Consider the following 21,996-nt stretch of genomic DNA (forward strand, 5'->3'; position numbering starts at 1 on the left):
GGCTGTAACCTTCAAGGTGGCAGACCTTGGACTTTGCTGTATTAAGTACGAAGAAAAACACACTGACAGCCTCAATTAGCATAGCTACTTAGAGAGATTACTTCACTGAGTTATGATAAAATATTATAGTATATTGCTTTTTATTTACCGTTAAATGTAAAACTATCATACAACGCATTTTTCTACATTCTTTACAAAACATAGATCATCTCTTACTTTGCACAAGTCTCAGATACAAGAATTGATGTAATAAATTAACCTTAGAAATTTAGTACAAGGAAATAGTCATCTCCTAAACAAAATTATGTTTTGTTTTCTTTTTTAAACAAATAAAGAAAGCTTTATAAACCTTCATATTTCCATTTTTACTTGGTTCCTGGTAAGCTTAGAGTTAACTTAGTGCCTAATTAATAATGAAATTTCATGCTAGGCTCTCTCCATACATACTTATTTTTCCAAATTTTGATCCTTGTTGTCTATGGGTTTTAATTTAAAATTATCACAAATTTTGTTCTGAAAAATAATTAAAGTTTTGAAGGAAAGATAAAAACAAATGTAACACAGATCATGAAATTAAATTCATTGAGTATACAAAAGTGCTACAAGTTCACACTCATTAAATGTATTTAGAATCACTTTTTAAAAGTGGTGATTGTTTTACAACAGTGCCATGAGTTTAGCAGTTACTATCAATTGATTTTATTTTCTCGATTTTTTAGATAAAGACAAACATCCACAGTAAAATTTTTAAGTGTTTATTAATTGTTTGGATGACTTCCAAGTAGCTACATATTGAATAAAGTAAAATATTCAGAATATTGGCCAACATTTCCAAATGAAATACCAGTTGTCTTTTAGATAATTGGCTAGCTGAATATTCAGTCAGGGAGAGAGGTAAGAGACAGGGACTTTCAAATACCTTTAGTCTTTATTCTTTACTTCCTATTCAATCATTCAGCCATCTTGCAATTGCCAAAGAAATTCTTTCATTATAAATCCCATTAAACATTCATTCTGCTTGTTTGGCATAATATGTTGCTAAACCAAATGCAGTTGAAAGTTAAAGTTATGGACTCAAGGGCCAGAAAACGAAATAGCACAATCTCTTTGAAGTGGATTACAAGGGAAAAAGTGTGTCCTGAACCTAGGAAGCATAGGAGAGGATTGCTGTACTTATACAAACAAATATCTCATTCCGTCCCTCTAGTCCCTGAATATTTGTGAGTATTGCCTTGTTGTGGTGTTCGGGGATTGAAGTGTGTGCAGTAGGGAGTTGAGCTGAGTTGAAACATTTGAAGTAGGGAATGAAGTTGAAGAATATTTGTGATTTAATTTAAAAAAGAATTGGGCATAACATAGTTACAGCTTCCCCTCACTCTCCTTTTTTTCTGTTTTTATTAATTCAGTGTATTTGAGACAGATACATTCAGTGTATTTGTGGACAGAAAAACAACGTATTGGCCACTAAGATAAAGCAGACAGTTGTCAAAACTGTAAAATTACTCAATGTTGTATCACACAGTGCCAAAATAGCTGCATAAACAGTTAAATAGTTAATGAATTGGTTACTTTTTCTAGCCATGTACACACAAATACACACAGACTTTCAGAAAAACTCCACATGATTGACATCATGTAACCAACACTTTAATTTTCCATTCAGATGTTCAGTGTATAGGGGACATAATCTTTTTATTATAGATACTTTAAGTAAGAGTTTTAATTGACTGTCAGTACCTCCAGATGCTATTATAGTAATATATTACTTATTTTGGAATCCATAGGCTGAATATGTTGGAAGTGAGGTGAAGCTCTAGTCTATTCATTCTAAAGTGGAGATGAAGATTCATCAGGCCAAGAGGAATTCCTGTTTACCAGAGTTTCCTAGCAGGACAACGAAATCCAGAGCCCCTCAGGGAGTTCAAAATTTGTGAGAGAATTTCAGGACCTCGAAATAGGACAGCTTCTTCACCCACCCTTAAGCCTCTTATAGAAAAGCTAGACTGCTGGAGAAGCTTTAGGATGTTAAATGATAATGCGGTCTACATTTTAAAACCAAAGATTGGTCTTGATTAGTGCCCTTAGATTCAAGAGTTTTGCATTTTAAAATTATCTGAGACTTTGTTAAAAGCAAAATAAAATTCCCCAATATAAAAATTCTAGAAGAAAATGTAGGGGGGAAACACCATGACACTGGATTTGGCAATGATTTTTTGGATATGACATTAAAAGCATAGGCAAAAAAAGCAAAAATAGAGAAGACAATATCAAGCTTAAAAGCTTTTGCTCAGCAAATAACACAATCAACAGAGTGGAAAGGTAACCTATGGAGTGGGAAAAATATTTGCAAATCATTTATCTGATAAGGGGTTAATATCCAGAAACATAAAGAACTCCTAAAACTCAGCAACAACAAAAATCAAATAACCTGATTATAAAATGGAATAGACATTTCTCTGAAAATGACTTACAAGTAGCCAAAAAAGCATATGAAAAATGTTCAACATCACTAATCATCAGAGAAATGCAAATTTTTTTTTTTTTTTTTTTTGAGACGGAGTCTCGCTCTGTCGCCCAGGCTGGAGTGCAGTGGCGCGATCTCGACTCACTGCAAGCTCCGCCTCCCGGGTTCACGCCATTCTCCTGCCTCAGCCTCCTGTGTAGCTGGGACTACAGGCACGCGCCACCATGCCCGGCTAATTTTTGTATTTTTAGTAGAGACGGGGTTTCACCGTGTTAGCCAGGATGGTCTCGATCTCCTGACCTCGTGATCCGCCCGTCTCGGCCTCCCAAAGTGCTGGGATTACAGGCGTGAGCCACCGCGCCCGGCCAGAGAAATGCAAATTAAAACCACAATGAGCTGTCTATCACCTTACACCCATTTGGACGGCTACTATAAAACAACAACACAATTCAGAATATAACAAGTGCTGGTGGGGATGTGAAGAAGTTAAACCCTCGTGTGCTGTTGGTGGAACTGTAAAATGGTGCAACTGCTATGGAAAAAAGTATGGGAGGTTCTCAAAAAATTAAAAATAGAATACCCATATCATCCAGCAATCCCACTTCTGGGTATATACCCCCAAATAATTGAAAGCAGTGTCCTGGAGAGATTTGCACACCCGTGTTTATAGCAGCACTATTCACAATAGCCAAGAGGTAGAAGCAACACAAATGTCCACTGATGGATGTTAGACACACAAAATGTGGTATATAGATACAATGAGATACTATGCAGCCTTAAAAAGGAAGGAAATCCTAACACATGCTACAACATGGATGAGTCTCAAGGACATCATGCTAAGTTAAATAAGCTGGTCCTAAAGGACAAATACTGTGTGATTCCACTTGTATGAGGTATCTAAAATATTCAAATTCATAAAAATAGAACGTGGTTGCTAGGGGCTGAAGGGAGGGGGAAAAGGGAAACTGTTGTTCAGTGGGTATAGGGTTTTAGTTCTATAAGATGAACAAGTTCTGGAGATCTGTTTCACAACAATGTAAATATACTTATTACTGAGCTGTACACTTAAAATGATTAAGATGGTAAATTTTATATGTGGTTTTTTAACCACAGTTGTCTAAAAGGCAAAATAAAGAATACACATGACTTTTTCAGTTTGTTTTGCAAATGCTATTCTCCTGCCTGTAATCACTCAACCAAATCAATTCAGTTGCTTAATAATTATTTATCAAGTGTACACTGAAGCCAGTTACTGTGCTCTGATTCTGGAAATACAGAGATGAAAAGACATTGTCCTTGGCTTCATGTAGTGGGGAAGACAGACACTTCAGCAATCATGACATTTTCCAACAATTCAAATATTTTCTAGCAGGTGCTGGGTTTGGAATGGTGTACCTTTTTCTGAAGGAATCTTGAAAGTAAATATTTCTTACCTTGAATTTTGTTTATGCTATTTTCTCTGCATAGATTGTTCTTCCCATTTTTCTCCTTCTCCATCCCTCCAACTTACATTCTACCCATTTAAATTCAACCCGTAATTCAAAACCAGAATAAGTATCACTGCATTTCTAGACCATTCATGGGTTACTCCAGCTCATATTTCAGGGTTCATTTATAGGAGCAGGCTGGCTAAACTGAGATATGGTAAGCACTGAGTTTGGTCCAGATTAAAGAGGCATTAAAGTTAATGTTTGATTAATATTTAAGACCCATGTGATTTTTTTTTCTTGCTCCAGGCCCATAAGCTCATTCTGGTACAAGGGCTATAGTCTAATGTTTTAACTCAAGTTTCTGCATCTCTTCTGGATCCTTCCCTGGTAACCTACCTTGGTACTTGAGTTGAGATTTTAGGTCTTGACTTTGGAGGTCTGGAACTTGACCCTAATTCTTACAACCTTAATTCAACTTGACATTTCAACCTTGATTTATATTTGCCCCTGGACTAAAATCTTGGGTCAGACTGACCTCATTAAATAACTGAATGAAAGGACTAGCATGTACATCACATGACTTTTTCCTTTTCTGTGTTCTTATAGGATATACTGCCTAAATATAGTATTTTATCTTGTTCTCTATGACATTTATGCAAGCATTAGAACAAGTACTTTTGTATCCTTTCTCCTCATCTCTAGCATCTAATACAGTATTTGATGTCATTATACTCAATGCATAGTTATAGAATTGAATTTAAAAAGAAATCACTGACCTCTTCACCATTTTTCTTTCTGCCCAAGGCATATTGTTTTGTTGCTTCAATAAATCGCACAGGAATATTATATACTCGCTTATTAAAGAATACAACTAGTGTATATGGTTGTTTGGAATCATGGCCAGAGCTTTTCCGAATAAGAAATGATCCATCCTGTTTAATTTTTTTTAAAAAACATAATTATGGTTAGTATTACTTATATTTCTACAGGTTCAAAAAATCATTTTGTGAAGAACACCTATATTACATTCCAAAGGTAAATTATTTAGCTACATTATTTTTATTATTGATTAGCGCTTGTCTTCTTATTTTCTAAGAAAATAGTCCAGGAAAATATATACTCATAGAAAATCCTGAGTGAGATCAATGCTTGCCTTTTTTGAAAAAAAGGTAATAATTAATTAATTATTTTTAGAAACAGTCTCACTTTGTTGCCCAGGCTGGTGTGCAGTGGTGCAATCACAGTCCACTACAGCCTGGAACTCCTGAGTTCAAGCGATCCTCCCACCTCAGCCTCCTGAGTACCTGGGACTACTGGCATGCACCACCATGCCCAGCTAAATGCTAGCTTTTTAATGTGCTAAATAAGGTTTTATGTTTATAAAATTTAGAAATATGTGAAGGGACACATTAAGATCAAATCTAGAGGACTCTCTTGAACTGGGAACCATAGCCACCAGTTGTCTATGAAAAAAAATGTATCAAACAAATTCCATTCATAAGTACTATAAGAAGAAAACAGAGGTTGGGAATCAAAACTTTCATTTTATATTTGCCCCTGGACTAAAATCTTGGGTCAGACTGACCTCATTATGAAAATTCTCTCCTCAAAGAACTTTTATAAGAAAAAAAATCCCTAGCCGGGCATAGTGGCGGGCACCTGTAGTCCCAGCTACTCGGGAGGCTGAGGCAGAAGAATGGCGTGAACCCAGGAGACGGAGTTTGCAGTGAGCCAAGATCGTGCCACTGCACTCCAGCCTGGGTGACAGAGCGAGACAACATCAAAAAAAAAAAGAAAGAAAAAGAAAAAGAAAAAAAAATCCCCAAACTGTAAGACAGTAATTCAAATTTTATTAAATTTTTTAATAAAAATATTTAGAATCATAAAATAAAAAATTACGAACAAAAGATGGACAAAAAGCAGAATGAAATGCAACAAGAGTTGATCAAACTCAGGAAACAAACTGAAGAAAAAGACAAGCCTATCTCAACAAAGAACAAATTATAAGATGTCCAAGGGACGAGAGCTTCAAATGAAGATTTAAGAAATGACACTTGAAGGAAGGTGTGGAAACAACCAGGAGAGAAAATGGGATTTAATAAAATAAGTACCATAGAATCAAAGACAGTGATGGGAGAAAAAATGACAAAAAAGATCCAAAACGCATGTAAATTGAGTGCTTGCAGAAGAAAAACAAATAAGGGAACAGAACAACCCTTTAAGACTATGATCTAAGAAAACTTATTGGATATAAGAGAAAACTTAAATCTACGTATTGAAAGGGCTTCTGTCTACTTGAGAAAATTGATTTGGAATTATCAACTCAGAGATATATTCTGGTAAAATGATTAGACTTTAAAAACAAAAAGTCTGCAGAGCCACCAGACTAAAGTATCAAATTACATAGAAGGGCAAGAAAGTCACATTGGTATCAGACTTCTCAAGAGCTTCATACAGAACAACACAATCTAGTGGAGCAACACTTTTCAAACTCAAATTAAGGATTTTATAGCCAGCCAAGATTTCTTCCAACTACTAGGATATGAAAAAACAGTTTTTTAACTCTCTTTCTCTTTTTATTCCCCCACAGCAGTCTCACTCTTGTTGCCCAGGCTGGAGAGCAGTGGCATGATCTCGGCTCACTGCAACTTCCGCCTCCTAGGCCCAACCGATTCTCCTGCTTCAGCCTCCGGAGGAGCTGGGATTATAGGCGCCCGCCATCACGCCTGGCTAATTTTTTTATTTTCAGTAGAGATGAGGTTTTGCCATCTTGGCCAGGCTGGTCTCAAACTCCTGACCTCAAGTGATCCACTCACCTCGGCCCCCCAAAGTGCTAGGATTACAGGCATAAGCCACTGCGCCTGGCTGAGAAAATAGTTTTGAATATAAAGGAACTCAGGGAATAATGTAAACACGATTTTTCCTCAGAATCTACTACAGGTACACTTCATCAAAGGAAAGAGACAATGGTGGAAGTCCACCAAAGGACTGACGGAACACACTAATATATTTACTTGTAGAGCTAGGACTAAAACAAGGGTGAGGAAGAACAGTATGTAAATGCTATATATTCTGACAAAGTGGAGTGCAAGAAAACAAAGAAAAAGAAAATGGGAGGAGAAGAGAGAAAGAAAAAGTGTCACTTTAATCTTGAATTGTCCAAGCTGTCCCTGGTGTTCCTACATGATTGAAGTTGGGCTCTCCAAACATTTACTTCCAGGTATTTTTTGTTTGTTTGTTTGTTTGCCATCTTGACTCAAATTTTTAATCCTGCACATTGATCCAAAATAGCCTGTCACTGTTCACTCCTCAGTGGAGCTCATGCAGCACCAAGCCTTCCATAGACCTCCCCTGGAGCTTTCTCGTCTCCCACTGTTTGGAGGGCAGTGGAGGCTGTGGGTCCTTGAGGAGATGAAAGGACAAGTAGAAATGAGATGGAGGAACTTGAAAGAGAGGAGGGGATAGCAGTTTCTCTTGAGTAAGTAAAGGAAAAAGATCCTTGTATCTACACTTGTTGCAATTATTTAATTAGCATATCATAAGGACGACAACTGTGTCTATTACAGGCTGAGGGCAAAACGTGTGATTTAAAAATGATCAGACCTTGGCCGGGCGCGGTGGCTCACGTCTGTAATCCCAGCACTTTGGGAGGCCAAGGCCGCCAGGCAGATCAACTGAGGTCAGGAGTTCGAGAGCAGCCTGGCCAACATGGTAAAACCCCGTCTCTACTAAAAATACAAAAATTAGCCGGGCTTGGGGGCACACACATGTAATCCCAGCTGCTTGGGAGGCTGAGGCATGAGAATCACTTGAACTTGGGAGGCAGGCAGAGGTTGCAGTGAGCTGAGATCGAGCCACTGCACTCCAGTGAAACTGCATCATCTCAAAACAAATAAATAAAATAAAATAAAATAAAAATAATAAATAATAAAAATGATCAGACCTTGTTTGATCTGTGCAATGCCTCTTCAGCAGACTTTCGATCACAGGCTCCAGCATACCATGGCTTGCAGAGAACGCCAGCTTCCTGTGAAATGGAGGGCACTGGTCAGCATGGGATGGTCCCTACTTAACTCTAATTTCTGTGTACTAGAAACAAAGACCCATTTGCATTATCAAGACAGGCCTCTACATTTACACCAATAATTTTAAGATGAGTTTTATTTTTCCTTTGATCAAACACAAGGATTATACCGTTAACTTGTTTTTTGTATTTTTTTTTCATTTGGCCTTAGCTAGGTTCCTGAATTATTTCTTTCTTTCTCCTAAATAAGTAATAATCCCCCTTTCCATTGTGCTCTTATTGCTCTTACTTTGTGGAGTGCTTTACAATTTCCAAAGCATTTTTACAAATATTATTTTATTTGATTCTTGCAAGAAAGGATATATGCCTTCTTTGAAGGCAAGAAGGACACATGCTATTATCCGTATTTTACATTTTTACATATATTTGTATGGAAACTTAGAAAGACTTGCCCAAGGGCACACAGAGTCCTTTCTCTGTCCCTTTATAAACTGTGCTGTCTTATATGTGATTTAATATCATCAGCCTCTACAGATCTATTTGGAGGAAATTACAAAGTTTAAATAAAATCTATGTGAGAGGAAGAATAATGAAAACACATTTCCTTGCTAGTTTTGAGGAAACATTAACTGGAGCAATGTCTTAGTCATTGAAAAAAAACAACAACTGGGTATTCTGTCCCTATTACCAAATGACAGTTCACATAATGATGTAAAATACAGTCTCTGTTCTCAAGGTTCACTCCAAATGTCTTCTTCTCAGAAGACATGCTCTTTCCTGCAGTTTCCTGGTAACAATTTAGTGACATCAAGAGTTCATTTCATACCTGTTCTGAAATAGTGGAATTAGATGAAAAGCTGGGTAGGGGCCCATCCACAGTTGGGTTTCCCCCTTCTGTAAATCCTGAAAGGGATCAGAAAAGTCCTTCAATTAATCTTCATATTTCTTGAACTCTTTCTATGCCTATCCCCTAACACTGTACTAGGTGCTGCCAGGGACACATCCACCAAAAAAAATCCTTAAGGCAATGGTTCCAAAAGTGTGGTCCAAGGACCCCTGGAAATCTCGAAAATCCTTTCAGGTGGTTCAAGAGGTCTTTTCTTTTTGAATTACCTATCACTATGAAACCCAATTTTCCTCATGTAGTTCCACCAGAAAAACATTGCAACAGATGAAATGTAGAAACAGAGATGAGAATCCAGCAGTCTCTGTTATGTTGCAGTAACATACATTAAAGAGATTTACAAAATGTAAACTAATGCCACTCTTTTCCCTAAATTGTTTTTGTTTGGAAAATATAGTTATTTTTCATAAAAATATTATTTATGTTAACATGTAATGAGTTTAATATTATTTTTAAATGGATTAATAAATGTTTTAAATGTCTCAGTTTTAATTCTTAAAATACTAGGTATCAATAGAAACATGTAAACCAAAGCTCTTTGGGTCTACAATTATTTTAAGAGTGTTAAAGTGGTTCTGAGACCAAAATGTCTGAGAATTGCTGACTTCAGGCATCAACTCCCTCAAAGAGTTTACAGTCTAAATGTGGAAACATGTGAAATACGAAAAAGACTTATCTGCATTCATTCATTCATTCATTCATTCATTCATTCTTGTTTCTCTGCCATGGATCAAAGGCATTGGGGATATACAGCAGTTAACAAAACAGCAAAATGCCCTGCTCTCCTGGAACTTAAATTTTAATGGATTGAGATGGGCAATAAAGACATAAGTAAAAAATATATATATAATGTTAGAGGGTCATAAATGCTATGAAGAAAAATAAATCAGGAAAGGAAGAATATGTGGGTGAGATCTGCAGGTGGAGAGGGAGGAGGCACTGGACATCCCAGGAAAGAATGTCCCGGGTAGAGGGAGCTGTGAAGGCAAGGCCTGGCATATCTAAGGAATAGCAAGGGTGCCACTGTGCCTGGAGTACAGTAAGAAAAGGGGAGAAGAGTAAGAGATACAGTCAGACAGGAGGCAATGAAGGGACCAGATTTATAGGACTTGGTGGACCCTTAACATGACTCAAGAGCTGTAATGAACATGATAAGGGAAGCTTTTGGAGGGTTTTGAACAGGGGGGTAACATGATCTGCCTATGTTTTAACAGGGTCATTCCAGCTGCTGGGCTGGAAACAGAGGGTGGCAACAGCAGAGTGGGGGAGGCCAGTTCGGTGTTCTTGCAGGAGATGACAGTGACTTGGACAGATCACAGCAGTGGAAGCAGTGAGAGTGGTTGGATTCTGGATCTATTTTGAAGGAATAGCTGGAAGGTGTGTGAAGAAAGCAAGTGAGAAGTCAAGGGTGACTCTAAGGTTTTTGACAACAGCAACCAGAGTTGTCCTTTATTAAGATGGGGAAATCTGCAGGAGAAAGAATTCTGGATAAACTAAGTGCTTCAGATAATAGTGCCCTGGATGTTTAGAGAAGGCAGCCACCATTGTAAGAGGAGGGGGCAGTGAGGGCTTGGCAGGCCCAACAAAGATGGGCCAAAAGGAAGGATGTATTCTAATAGGAGGGGAACAGCACTCCCAGGTGAGAGCAGCAAAGGTGAGTGAGTGAACAGACTTTCCCTAGGTGCACAGTGCAGGGCAGTTTGTGGTTTCTGCAGTTCTGGCAGTTGGAAGAGTACCCATGGCTAATATTTTCTGACACCCGAATGTGCTAGGCCTATTCTGTTTTCAACATGCGTGCATCTCGTCCTTTCACCAGCTCTTTGTGGAATGAGCTATTATGCCCATTTTATAGAACAGGCCTTCTCAGACCATCCTGTCTACAGCAGCAGCCCTCCCTGCCTCCGTTACTCTCTGCCACCCACCCCTGCTGCTGCGCTGTATTTTTCTTTATAGCACTTCAGCATTTACCTGATATGATATTATTTGTGCGTTTATTTTTACTCTCTGTCTCCTTCAGTAGAATATAAGTTTCATGAGGACAGGGTCTTTATTTGTTTCGTTCATCCTTGTATCTCCTGTGCCTAGAACAATGCCTGGCACACGGCATATGGTCACTAACAACTGAATGAATGACTTGGTTTGAAAAACGGTAAAAGGTATAATAAACCTTTTTAAATAATGAAAAATAAATTTCTGTAGCCAAATCATTTTCACTTTGTGTTGTCAGAATTTTTTTTAAAAACTAGTAAAAGTTTCATTTATTTAAGATGAATATTATTAAAAATTTAAAAAGCCAATTTATGTTTAGTAAAAAAAATGCATAAAAATTTTGCATGTGGACAATTACTGTTTATTTAAATGGATTTAAGCTTTATTATTTTGGAATATATCCCAAATTATCTATGTAAAGCAGAGTTTTTTTCTTCCTTTTTTTCCCACATTGAGTTGCAGGCAAATTAAGGTTTGGGCAGTTACGTTCTGTGAGCCTGACTTATCCGATTCATATATTTTTAGGGTGATGTTTGCCTTGGAAAAATTATCCAGATATTTGCCGTATCTTCTTTTTAAGGTACCTTTTGTAGACATATTTTGTGATCTTTAAAATATATTTTGACTTAATTTAAATCGGTATTATTTGTTTAGAACCAAACACTATAGCTGGTGCTTCCCATATGTTGTTTTACTTGATCTTATTATTTTGAAAACAGCTGTATTGTTTTTGTAAAAAAAAAAAAAGTTAAAAAAGGATGCATGATCAGTAAAATATTAAATCGCTACTAAAAAAAGTAAAAATTGCCTCAAATATATTTACTTTTCAAAACAACTCTGTGAAATAAACATTCTTGGCCCCATTTTACAGGTAAGGAAACAAGTGGGAGAAGATGCCAGGATAACGCAGCTGGAAGCGACAGTGCTGTGTTAGAACCCAGGCCTATCAGACTCTAGGATCCAGCCTCGACCACTCCCTGATACACTACATGGCTTCGTTGTACTTACTTGGCAGAGGTATGGGTTTTTGGTGGATTTGTCTGCAAGAAAGAATTTCAGATAATTAAAGGACAAAGCACAATATGAGTAAGTTTGACTTTTTGTTTACACTGATGATGCTGTGAACAGGCACATCACAAATAAATCAATACAAATGGCCAATAAAATGTATCTAAAGATAAAAGAGCCACCAAAACCTTAAAGATAAGTAAGACTCTTCCTTTTAGTTTTGAAAAAGGAGGAAATCTTGACTAAAGTATTGTATTTTAGTCAAGTTCAATAATTAACCCAATTAGTAGGTCTCTGCAACTCTACACAGTTATTTTAAAGTTGCTCAACACCTTTTAACACGTAACTGCAAAACAATGAAATGTTGGATTTTTACCTAGCACTGCAAGTCAGTGTCACTGTGCAGTGAAACAATGCACATGTTAATTCCTGCAGCAACAAGAGGAAACTGATCTTTAAAGGAAAGGATTCTTACTTCTGGGCAGGAGGAAACACTGGTGACTGCACAGCTTCTTGTCTGTGACTTGACCCTCGGTGGCGTTCAGCAGGTATAGGTTTTTCTGGATCAGGAAAATTATCATATTAGGATTAGAGTGAAATGTCTGTCCTCATCCCAAAACCCAGCAACATCAGCTGAGAAGAACCAAATTTGATCAGAAGTCTTCCCGGGAACATGTCTTAGTTACTGAGATGTCATGGATCTGTGCACTTGCCAGTCTGTTGATGTGGTTGTGCTATGAGGACCAGGACTCCCTCCCAGCAGTGTTACAGGTACATCCTACCACCTCTGCATTCATCCACTGGCAATGTACATAGAGACTGAACCCACGGGCCCTGAAACTTTAAGTGTGTGAGTATAGGTGGAAGCCAGAAGATGAGAACATTTTAGCCACCCTCTAAACAACTCACCCTCTACTTGCCATGTGGCCTCCACACAGGTGGAGACAACACCCTGGTGGGTCTTGATTAGTCATAAGACGTGGTATAAGCAGTGTGTTACTGATAAGAGGCACACTACTGAGTTCATAAATGATCTCTTTTTGCAAAATTAATTGGATCAAATTCAAGGTTATCCCTATAATAATGTAAATCTCACTTGCATTTCAGTGTTTTCCTGAGCAGAAGAGGAAAGGGTGGGAAATGAGCATAAACCTGAAGTGTAAGAAATTTATGTTGAAGCCCATAGTGAACTCTACTGCTGAACCATTAATAAATGTGATCACACATTATTTTAATACTTTACTCTCCCTCAAATTTGTCGTTGGGGGGTGGGGTGTGTTAAAATCTTGGTATGTTCATGTGTGAGTCTGCATGGAAGAAAGGCTGAGAACTACAGAAACCCCAAAGAAATAAAAGTAGTAAGAACTCAAAGATTCAAATAAATGGTAAGATAGACGTCAGGGTTTCTTACCATTCAGTGGTGCACTAAAGCTTGGAAACCTTGAACCTCTGAAGATTGTATTTTGAATTTGTGGCAAGCTACTTCAAACCTCTATGTTAGATGTTTTGCTCATGACATTAAAACTTGGTAATTTCAGAAGGAGAAACAATGAACACCTTAGGTCTTGCCAGCCTATAAGCTTTGACTACACCTGCTCTGCCTCCGCCATCCTGATTCCTTCCTAGGCTAGTAGAGGCCACTCACTCACTTTGCATTTGGATGGTAATTGCCTATGCTCTTGAAATAAATAACAAAGGAGGGGGCATGCCTGGCAGGCTCCTGTACTGGGAACCCTTTGAGAATGAGGACACCTAAGCAGCAGTGGACATGCCTTGGGCCCTGCTTCTTTCCTGGATTTTGGAGGCTCTTGTAGCCATGAAGTCTGCACAGGTTGTACTTACTTCCTACAGATGCTCAGAGCTCCTGAAGTCACTATCACTCCACAACCTGGACTCAGCAGGTCTGAGAGGCTGCAAGGAATGGAAGTACAGAAAAGACAAAAGCCTCAAAGGGAAGGCAGAAGAAAGCAATACAGCAGAAAAGGGGTGATGCCTCAGAAATAGCCTAGGGAAGCAAGATATGGGAGACAGGATGAAAAAACCTAATGGCGTCATTAAAGCAGAGAGGTGAGTTGTAGTGCATGCTCAGAAAAGATCCACTGTCCATCATCAGAGAAAGGAGAGTGCTTTATGTAGATATACGCACATCAACTCAGGGAAGAGGGAGAATACTCACTACATTTTTAACCCTGGGTATCTTCAAGTATGGAATTAAATGGGTACAGGGCATGAACTTCTATATAATGTTTTAAGTGCTGATATTATAGATGATTCTTCTATTTTTTTCCGGTAATTTCCAAACACAATTTTTTTTAACATGAGCAGTTTCTAAAAATATATATAAGATTTTTGAGTGATGATAAAGGAAGAAATTCTAAATTACTCAGGAGGCTGAGGCAGAAAGACAACTTGAGCCCAGGAATTTGAAGCTGCAGTGAGCTATAATTATGCACCACTGCACTCCAGTCTGGGCTACAAAGTGAGACCCTAACTCAAAAAAAAAAAAAAAAAGGAAGAAAAGCAATTGAAGATGTACTAAGAAGACAGACAATTGAACTTTGAAAACATTATCTTGAAAACTTAGCAAAAGAACTTGTTCAAATAAACAGATTTTTAAAGTTTTCATTACTTTAAGTAAGCTATTAGTTCTAAAACATGTGAATGGCTCTACGTTAGTTTTCACATTTATGTAAGGTCCTAGCACTATTGCCTGGCAAGTCATATCTGTCTGCCAAAAGGCAGGTTTTTGCATGCATTCTGTAGCCTACTCTAAACATGCTGAGGTTCTGAGCTAGTTTTGCTGTTCATTGCTCATTGCAAAAACTATTTTGTTTAGAAAATTGAGTTTCATGTTTACAATTGCCCCAAAAATAATGTAATAAATGTGTACATACAAATCCTTAATAAAATAACTTTTAGAGGACATGCTCATCCTTCAAAATAATAGATTTTACCTTCACAAACACTTGAAGCATTCTGTTGAGAGGCAACTGGAGTCTATGTAAAAGAAAAAAAGGCAAGGTTATTCAATATAGCAGAATGTGGAAATAAATGTCAGAGCAATATTATTAAAATAAATATTTTGGCAGCACTTTTCTTTGATGCATTGCTATTCTTTCAATCACAACAACAATTACAAACCCACAGTCCCTAGCCCAACCTTTGCATTAAGCAACAAACAGCCAGAAGTGTCCTATGAAGGAGCAATGTCACTGTGGTGGAGAAACCTCCCTGCCTTGTCAACAGGGTTGATGGAAATCATGACCCCCCCAGCAGCTGCCACATAGTAACCCATGTACAGCAGGCATCTGGCATCTGCTTTGGTCTCATGACCCCCCCCTTCTGTGTGTTTGCTAAATGATTGTAAATGTCAGGCTTCACAGTAGGGACTAGGTCCAGGTGGGCTCCCTTATGTAGTGTTGTGGCCCAGGTTCACCATGTTCTGGCCAGAATCTGAGTTTAGTGAGGCCTATGTGTGCCTGATACACAATGGTCTACCATTAGCTGTGGTGGGGAGTGGACACAGACGCTTCCTGTGGAGAGGGCAGGGAACCTGGCTGCCCCTCTGATCTGCTGCGCACACTCAGTGAAGCTGCTGGGATCAAGTGAGGATGAGCTCCTTCTATGCTCCAGGGAGGAGCATCCTCCCTGGCTACCTGAGGATTTGAAGCTTCTCTTGGACTGCTTGGGCAGCAACTTCAGTTGCTAAGATTGCTGTGTTCACCATAGCTGGAAGCATTTTCAACTTTAAATAAATGGATAAGAATAAACACTGCAGGAAATATGAAGCACTTTTAAATGCAAAATTAACTTACTGTCTTCAGTGGTGTCGTTGGTTTTTTCCTGGGGAATAAAAAGAGATGAGCTTTGTTAAAACACAACGAAGACAAAATGGAGCTATTTACCATTATTTTAGTCTCAAATTTAAGCTAGAATTATGAAAGCGATACAAGTGTGTAGAAGACTATCCTTGCAGGGTGGAGAGGGATGGAAGTGGGATTTAGTTATGATCCTCCTAGGCTCAGATGGAGTCTGCTGACAGATGGGGAAGGGGTCAACTGGGGATAAAGTAGGGCACCAGTCCGGCAGAACTGGACTCTTGCACCAGTTGCACTAATTACTTGGCGGGTGACCTTGGGCCTCTTTGTCTTGAGTGTGAGGTTAGATTCCTCACCTGTCAATTGAGGACCAGGATCAGTATTTTCAGTGTTTCTGTGGAGCCCCCTCTTCCCCAACAGCTCCCTGTGGGGGTTACTGTCCAGGACAGAGGGTAGAGGTAAGAGGGTGGTCCAGCAGGTGAGGTTGCAGCTGCACTTGCCCACTCCAGCTTCCTCCCTGTCTCTAGGGACTATTCTCCACTGTCTTCTGTGCAGGCTTTCTTTCAGAGAGATCCGAAACCAAAACAAGTTTGAAAACCACTGATGTGTGGTCCTGAAGGTACTTGCCTGCACTAACATTCTAGTTTGCAAAATGATTCAGGTGCTGGAGCTTCTGAAAGTCGGGGTGTCTTGTGGAACACTGTAAGTCAATGAACTCAAGATTCCAATAGAGACTGGAGTCTAATATTGGTAAGGTTGTATGCTCCTTTTCTGTGTGTTAAATTTCTTAATTTAAAAACCCTCACCATATCTCTCTCTCGCTTTGTTTTCGGCTGAGAGCTGAAGTGTGGGGGAAGAACACTAAGAATTCCTGAGCACCTGTAAGATGCCTGGCACTGGGTTAGGCTCCTCAGGTGCTATTTAAACCTTACAGTGACATTTTAAGGTGAGGAAACTGAGGCTCAGAGAGACGAAGTAGTTTGCCCAAAGTGATACAGCTGAACTAAGAGAGACGTATGCAGAGTTTTGGTTAATAAACCTTCAACATGGAGGCTTTCTTTGGTTTACACAGAGACAGAAATAAGATTAGAGCCATTCAGGCCAGCTTTAGACATATTTAAATTTGCTTTCCAAATAACCTGTTGAGCCAACATAATTTTACGGGGTGACGTTTGTAATATTAACACATTACAATCGTCACCTGACTGTTTACAAAGCCCTTCTAAATTCAATAAGAAAGAATGACTGTCACTTTCGAGAGGAACTTCAGTCGTATGGCTTTGAGGGAGTGCCCTGGTATGACCAGCACATAGTATATATCTACACACTTATTTACAGACCATAAAACTGAGCAGCAGTAAGTAAAGACAAAACCTGCTAGAGGCTCTGAAAATGATTCAGGTGCTGGAGCTTCTGAAAGTCAGGGTGTCTTGTGGAACACTGTAAGTTAGTGAACTCAAGACTTAACTAAAACTTCACAGGAGGAAATACTTCTAGATTTATTTATTTATTTATTTATTTATTCATTTATTTATTTATTTGAGATGGAGTCTTGCTCTGTTGCCCAGGCTGGAGTGCAGTGCTGTGATCTCAGCTCACTGCAACCTGCAGAGGTTCAAGTGATCCTCCTGCCTCAGCCTCCCAAGTAGCTGGGATTACAGGTGTGTGCCACCACGCCTGGCTAATTTTTGTATTTTTAGTAGAGACGGGGTTTCGCCATGTTGGCCAGGCTGGTCTTGAACTCCTGGCTTCAAGTGAGCTGCCCGCCTTGGCCTCCCAAAGTGCTGGGATGACAGGCCTGAGCCACCATGCCTGGCTCATTTGATGTTAGCAGGGCTCCTTACTCTTGGTCCAAGTTGCAGCCTGCCATGGGGAGAACTTCTAATGAAGTCAACAGGGCAGTGGGGTATCACCATCCTCACTCCCCAGATCTCAAAAGCTGCTTCCTGCAACAGGTACTTACCCGGCCCGTGGCAACGGGGATGGTGCAGCTGGTGGAGGTGACTTGGTTTCCCAGGCCCCACTGTTTCGACCTGCACAAACATATACACTACTCAGTCCCCAAGTCCTGAGCCGGGGGCTGATGCTCACACTGAGGCTGGCCTCTCTGGCAGGCTCAGAAATATTTGCACATACTGTGTTGCTTTCAGTTAAGCACATATAGGTAGTTATATTGAAGCTATTAAGGAAAACTTGTGGGCAAAGGTGATGACACATTTTAAAAGTGTCAGTGTATAAGCTCAGAGCTGGGATGGGGGTTAGGGACTCCACCTTAACATTTCTAAAGGACCTTCTCCTTACCCGCCCCCTGCCCCATGGGGCAAGTCCTGAGCCCACTGATTCTGAGGACTCAGTGAGGACCCCCACAGAGGTCCTTCAGGAAGGGAGCCAACAGCTCACACCTACATCTGTGCACACTGCACAAATGTGCACGGCAGAGGTGCCCAGAGACAGAGGCTCCAACCCACCACTCCTGACACAGACCTCAGACAGTGCTCCTTTATAAGCACACTTAAATACGGTAAATGCCTCTAACTTCACATTCAGAGGATATTTACTCACTCATCTCTGAGTTTTCAAGGGCTTTCGCCGACAGGTTTTCCTTAATGGACAAATTGAGACAAGTGCAGGCTGCTGCCCAAATCTCATCTTCTCAAGTCATAGAAGGGACCCGAAGGGTCTTGTCCCCTGCACCCAACCTCCCTTCCTGTACCTGAAGATAGATGCCAGACAATCGTTATGAGGGAGGAAGTGAAAGAGAAGCAGGATGGATCTTCACTGTGGGACAGAGGGCAGGCCAGGAGGGGAGAGGCCAGAGCTGAGCCAGCCCCCTCAGCATCCCCTAGCTGCCTCAGACATGATGCTCACCTGCTTGGACACCATTGCTCAGTGAGACCAAGGGGTCTCTTCATGAGGCTCTTCATTAACTTAACTGAACTGAATAAATGTTTTCTTAAGAACTTACTACACATACAAGTCCACAATTCCGTTTTTTTTTTTTTTTTTTTTTTTGAGACAGGGTCTTGTTCTGTCACCCAGGCTGGAGTGCAGTGGGGAGATCACAGCTTACTGGAGGCTTCAAACTCCTGGACTCAAGTGATCCTCCCCACTAAGTAGCTCCTGAGTAGCTGGGACTACAGGCATGCACCACCACACCTGGCTAATTTTTTGTCCAGATGAGATTTTGCCATGTTGCCCAGGCTGGCCTTGAACTCCTGGACTCAATCCATCCACCTGCCTTGGTCTCCCAAAGTGCTGGGATTACAGGAATGAGCCACGGTGCCTGGCCTATAATTCCTAATGGATTTATAGGGCATACTCTGTAAGTACAGGCTGGACCTGCTGCCCTCAGTCTGTACTTTCTTAGTTTATGAGATAGAGCACAGATAAGCACACATTGAAATAATAATCCATTACCAAGGATTATTGAGGACTTGGTACATGTAAAGCACATGAAGGCACTGTGTTAGGGGCCGAGGAAGAGGTGAAGAAGCAGACATAGGCCTCTGCCCTCTCAGAATTTATAACAGGGAAGATACATGCACCCTCCATATCATCTCATCCAAACACAGACAAGAAAAAGAAAAGGCCTCAAAAAGTATTGAAATAGAGTTCAGGAAGTTCCTTCCCATGTATGTCACTGGAGAGAGGCTCCCAGGCTTCTACTCAGAGCCCACTGACTCTTTTCCTAAACCCTCAAGGATGGGAGCAACAGCAAAGAGTGGGTGGTGTGGATTGTACCTGGAAGCCTTCCCCAGCACCCTGGGAAGCAATGCCCCCTCCATGACAGCTGTCTTCCACGGTACCTGAACTGGGTCTGATTTTTTGAAACATTTTGGAAAAGAGATTGCGTTTGGAATGTTTACATTTCATGTGACAACATGAAAACAATAAACTGAAATGTCACCTGAATGTGTAGTAGGAGTCTCCCTGTGTTTAAGTAACTGGTGTATCAAATTGAATACTTAAGACTGACACTGTTAAAGTACCCTTGACTGCAATAGAATTTGATGGAAGATCTCAGGGAAGTGGAACAAAATCTTGTATGAAAAATAAGGAAGTAGAAAGAAGGTCTAAGTCTGAATTTCATCCCAGGGGTTTTCCCTCTTCTGAAATGTTAAGGGCTCCTTTGGCCACTATATTATCTTTGTCAGACCTTCCTCCTGGCTTTTCTACTATGCTTCCTTTTCTTGCATATCTCAGAATAGTCTGCCAAAACCTTCCTTTTCCTTTCCTTCCCTATAAATAACTTCTGACAATCAGAGGACAGCATGATTGTCATGGTGGAACACTGTCACGGAGGACACTGGTGGAAAGCCTATGGTCTTGCCTCAGGAAGACAGAGTTCTAGGGAAGGATGGAGCATGACTCTTCATGGGTCACTGGCCCATGAAACAATATTGTTCCCTGATAATATCTGCCAGAATGGTCATGGATCAAGGCAGGTTGAACAAGGGATTCTGAATAATAACAATAATAATAACAAAGCACTAGCATTTTATGAGTGCAAGTCATCTATATTGAGTCACTTAATTCTCATGGTATCTACTCATGATACCCCTAGGCATAGGTGCCATTTTTTCAGAGGAAGAAACTAAGAAACAGAGATGACTTCACTTGTTCAAAGTCCGGCACCTAGCAAATGTCAGAGCCAGGACCTAAACCTCTGGCTTTGGAGTCGGCTAAATCCATTCTACTGGCTTCTCAAGCACAGCGGGGACGGCAGGGGCTGTCACTGCACCAGATTTACTATATCACCCTCGGCAGGCACCTTATTGGCTATCAAAGGACCAAGAGCAATATTGACCAGAGGAAACTGATGTGGTGTGGTGCTTTGACAGAAACACCAACTAGGCACCTGATGGACACTTTTGTGATGCCCACTGGGGGACTATCTGAAGCCTTTAAAGGGGAATGGATGGTTATTCAAAGACACAGGCTAGTAGTCTGATCATTTCTTTTGTAAAAATAATCTCTGAAGGTTCCACTGTTTGCACACTCGGAAACCCACTCGGACTGTTTAGGCTTGTCCCTTCAAAATTATTTCACTTCTTCCCCCTTCCTGTAGGTACTCCCACCTGTATGTGATAATCACATAACCAGGACATTATTTTCTTGTTTAGATTTGCTTTCTTCATCTGATGACCCTAGTATTAAAATACAGCTATACCAGGTTAATAGCAAACTTATGAGTAATAAATCCAGCTGGCTAAAGCCCTGTTGGTGATTCTTTAAATATTTAATACAACCAGTGTTTGAGGACTCATTCACCCTCTCAACCAACTGACCCCTCCACAGTCTCGGCACCTCCCCTGAGCCAGATCCTGGGGTAGGCCCTGGAAACAGCTGTGAGCAAATAAAGACAGAAATCTCAGGGCATGTGCAGGGCACTAGAGGGATCTGTCCCAGCTTGGGGCCAGGTAAAGCCTCCTGAGCAATGACATTGAAGGCAAGGTCTCCAAGGAGCTTGCAATGTACTTAGGAAGCGATTAGACTGAGACACAAAGTAATTAGGGAATAAGTACGGGCTAAGTGTAAGGGGGAAGAGACTTCCTGCAAAGGAGAGCTCTCTGAGGGCTACAGAAACCAGAGGAGTCTTCCTGGAGGTGGAGGCCTCAAGCTGGGCCTTGAAGGATGAGTAGGATTAGGTGTCCTAAAAGTGAGAACACAAAGACCAAGAAGCAAGACCCGTGACATACAGGCTGATTGGAGTACTGGGTGTGTTTTAGGAAGAGGAGGTGCTTGTAAGGCAGTGTGTTTTAGGAAGAGGAGGTCCTTGTAAGGCAAGTAGAGCTTTGTAAGAGGTAAACACCAGATATTAGTAATCTATTTCTCTAAAGGAGGGTTGAGGTCTTCATTTATTTATTTGTTAAAGGTTTTCTATTCCAGTAACAACAGCCCTCATCCTGAGTTATCGGGAGTTAGGAGTCTCCATTTCTGCTGGGGCCTAAGCAACCTGGTCACGATGTTTTAGATTGGCATGTTTGACCTTTGTCTCTCCAGAGGGTAAGATGAGCTGGCTAAGATGGCTCTGAGCTCCACTCCCCACTTATAAAGCGCTTGTGGGTTCTGAGGAGAGGTTAAGTAAAACCAGAACTTGTGAAGAAAGTGAATAATTTCACAAGAAATGAGTCCAGGAAAAGATTTTTAAAATACTCGACTGTTCTTTCATTTTCTGTGAAGGAGCCTGTCTCTGGAAGCAGAGCTCAGCCTCTCAATGACTTGTGTTCAGCTCTGTGAGAGAAGAGAGTGTGTGTGTATGAATGTGTGTGTGTGTGTGCACACGCGCATATGTGTGCCTAGGGGAGAGGGACAAGGGGAGAGAGGGAGAGGAAATGCCTGTGAGAATGCTGGAGAGC

At 40.3% G+C, this 21,996-nt stretch overlaps 2 protein-coding genes across 10 annotated transcripts in view; one reads left to right on the forward strand and one right to left on the reverse strand.

Moving 5' to 3' along the window:
- Positions 1-13,054, forward strand: part of ZNF518A (zinc finger protein 518A) — a 75,577-nt gene extending 62,523 nt beyond the window's left edge. Inside the window, exons 4-5 of the transcript NR_138482.1 lie at positions 11,337-11,391; positions 11,683-13,054. The gene's annotated coding sequence lies outside the window, so the exon portion shown is untranslated. The remainder of the gene's footprint in view (positions 1-11,336; positions 11,392-11,682) is intronic.
- The window catches only part of BLNK (B cell linker), an 82,399-nt gene that overhangs the window by 3,067 nt on the left and 57,336 nt on the right, over positions 1-21,996 (reverse strand). For 5 of the 9 annotated variants that reach the window (NR_047680.2, NR_047682.2, NR_047681.2 and 2 more), the window contains 8 exons: positions 17,601-17,670; positions 15,635-15,662; positions 14,774-14,816; positions 12,295-12,379; positions 11,820-11,851; positions 8,745-8,821; positions 7,838-7,921; positions 4,671-4,826 (listed from right to left, as the gene is read on the reverse strand). Coding sequence is in view for 5 of the 9 variants with exons in the window: in NM_001114094.2 (NP_001107566.1) it covers positions 4,671-4,826; positions 7,838-7,921; positions 8,745-8,821; positions 11,820-11,851; positions 12,295-12,379; positions 14,774-14,816; positions 15,635-15,662; positions 17,601-17,670 (575 nt within the window). In the remaining 4 variants the exon portion in view is untranslated. The remainder of the gene's footprint in view (positions 1-4,670; positions 4,827-7,837; positions 7,922-8,744; positions 8,822-11,819; positions 11,852-12,294; positions 12,380-14,773; positions 14,817-15,634; positions 15,663-17,600; positions 17,671-21,996) is intronic. The other 4 variants (NM_001258442.2, NM_001258441.2, NM_001258440.2 and 1 more) reach the window with 2 other exon arrangements.

The sequence above is a fragment of the Homo sapiens genome, chromosome 10 (assembly GCF_000001405.40).
Source record: "Homo sapiens chromosome 10, GRCh38.p14 Primary Assembly".
NCBI classification, from domain to species: Eukaryota; Metazoa; Chordata; class Mammalia; order Primates; family Hominidae; genus Homo; species Homo sapiens.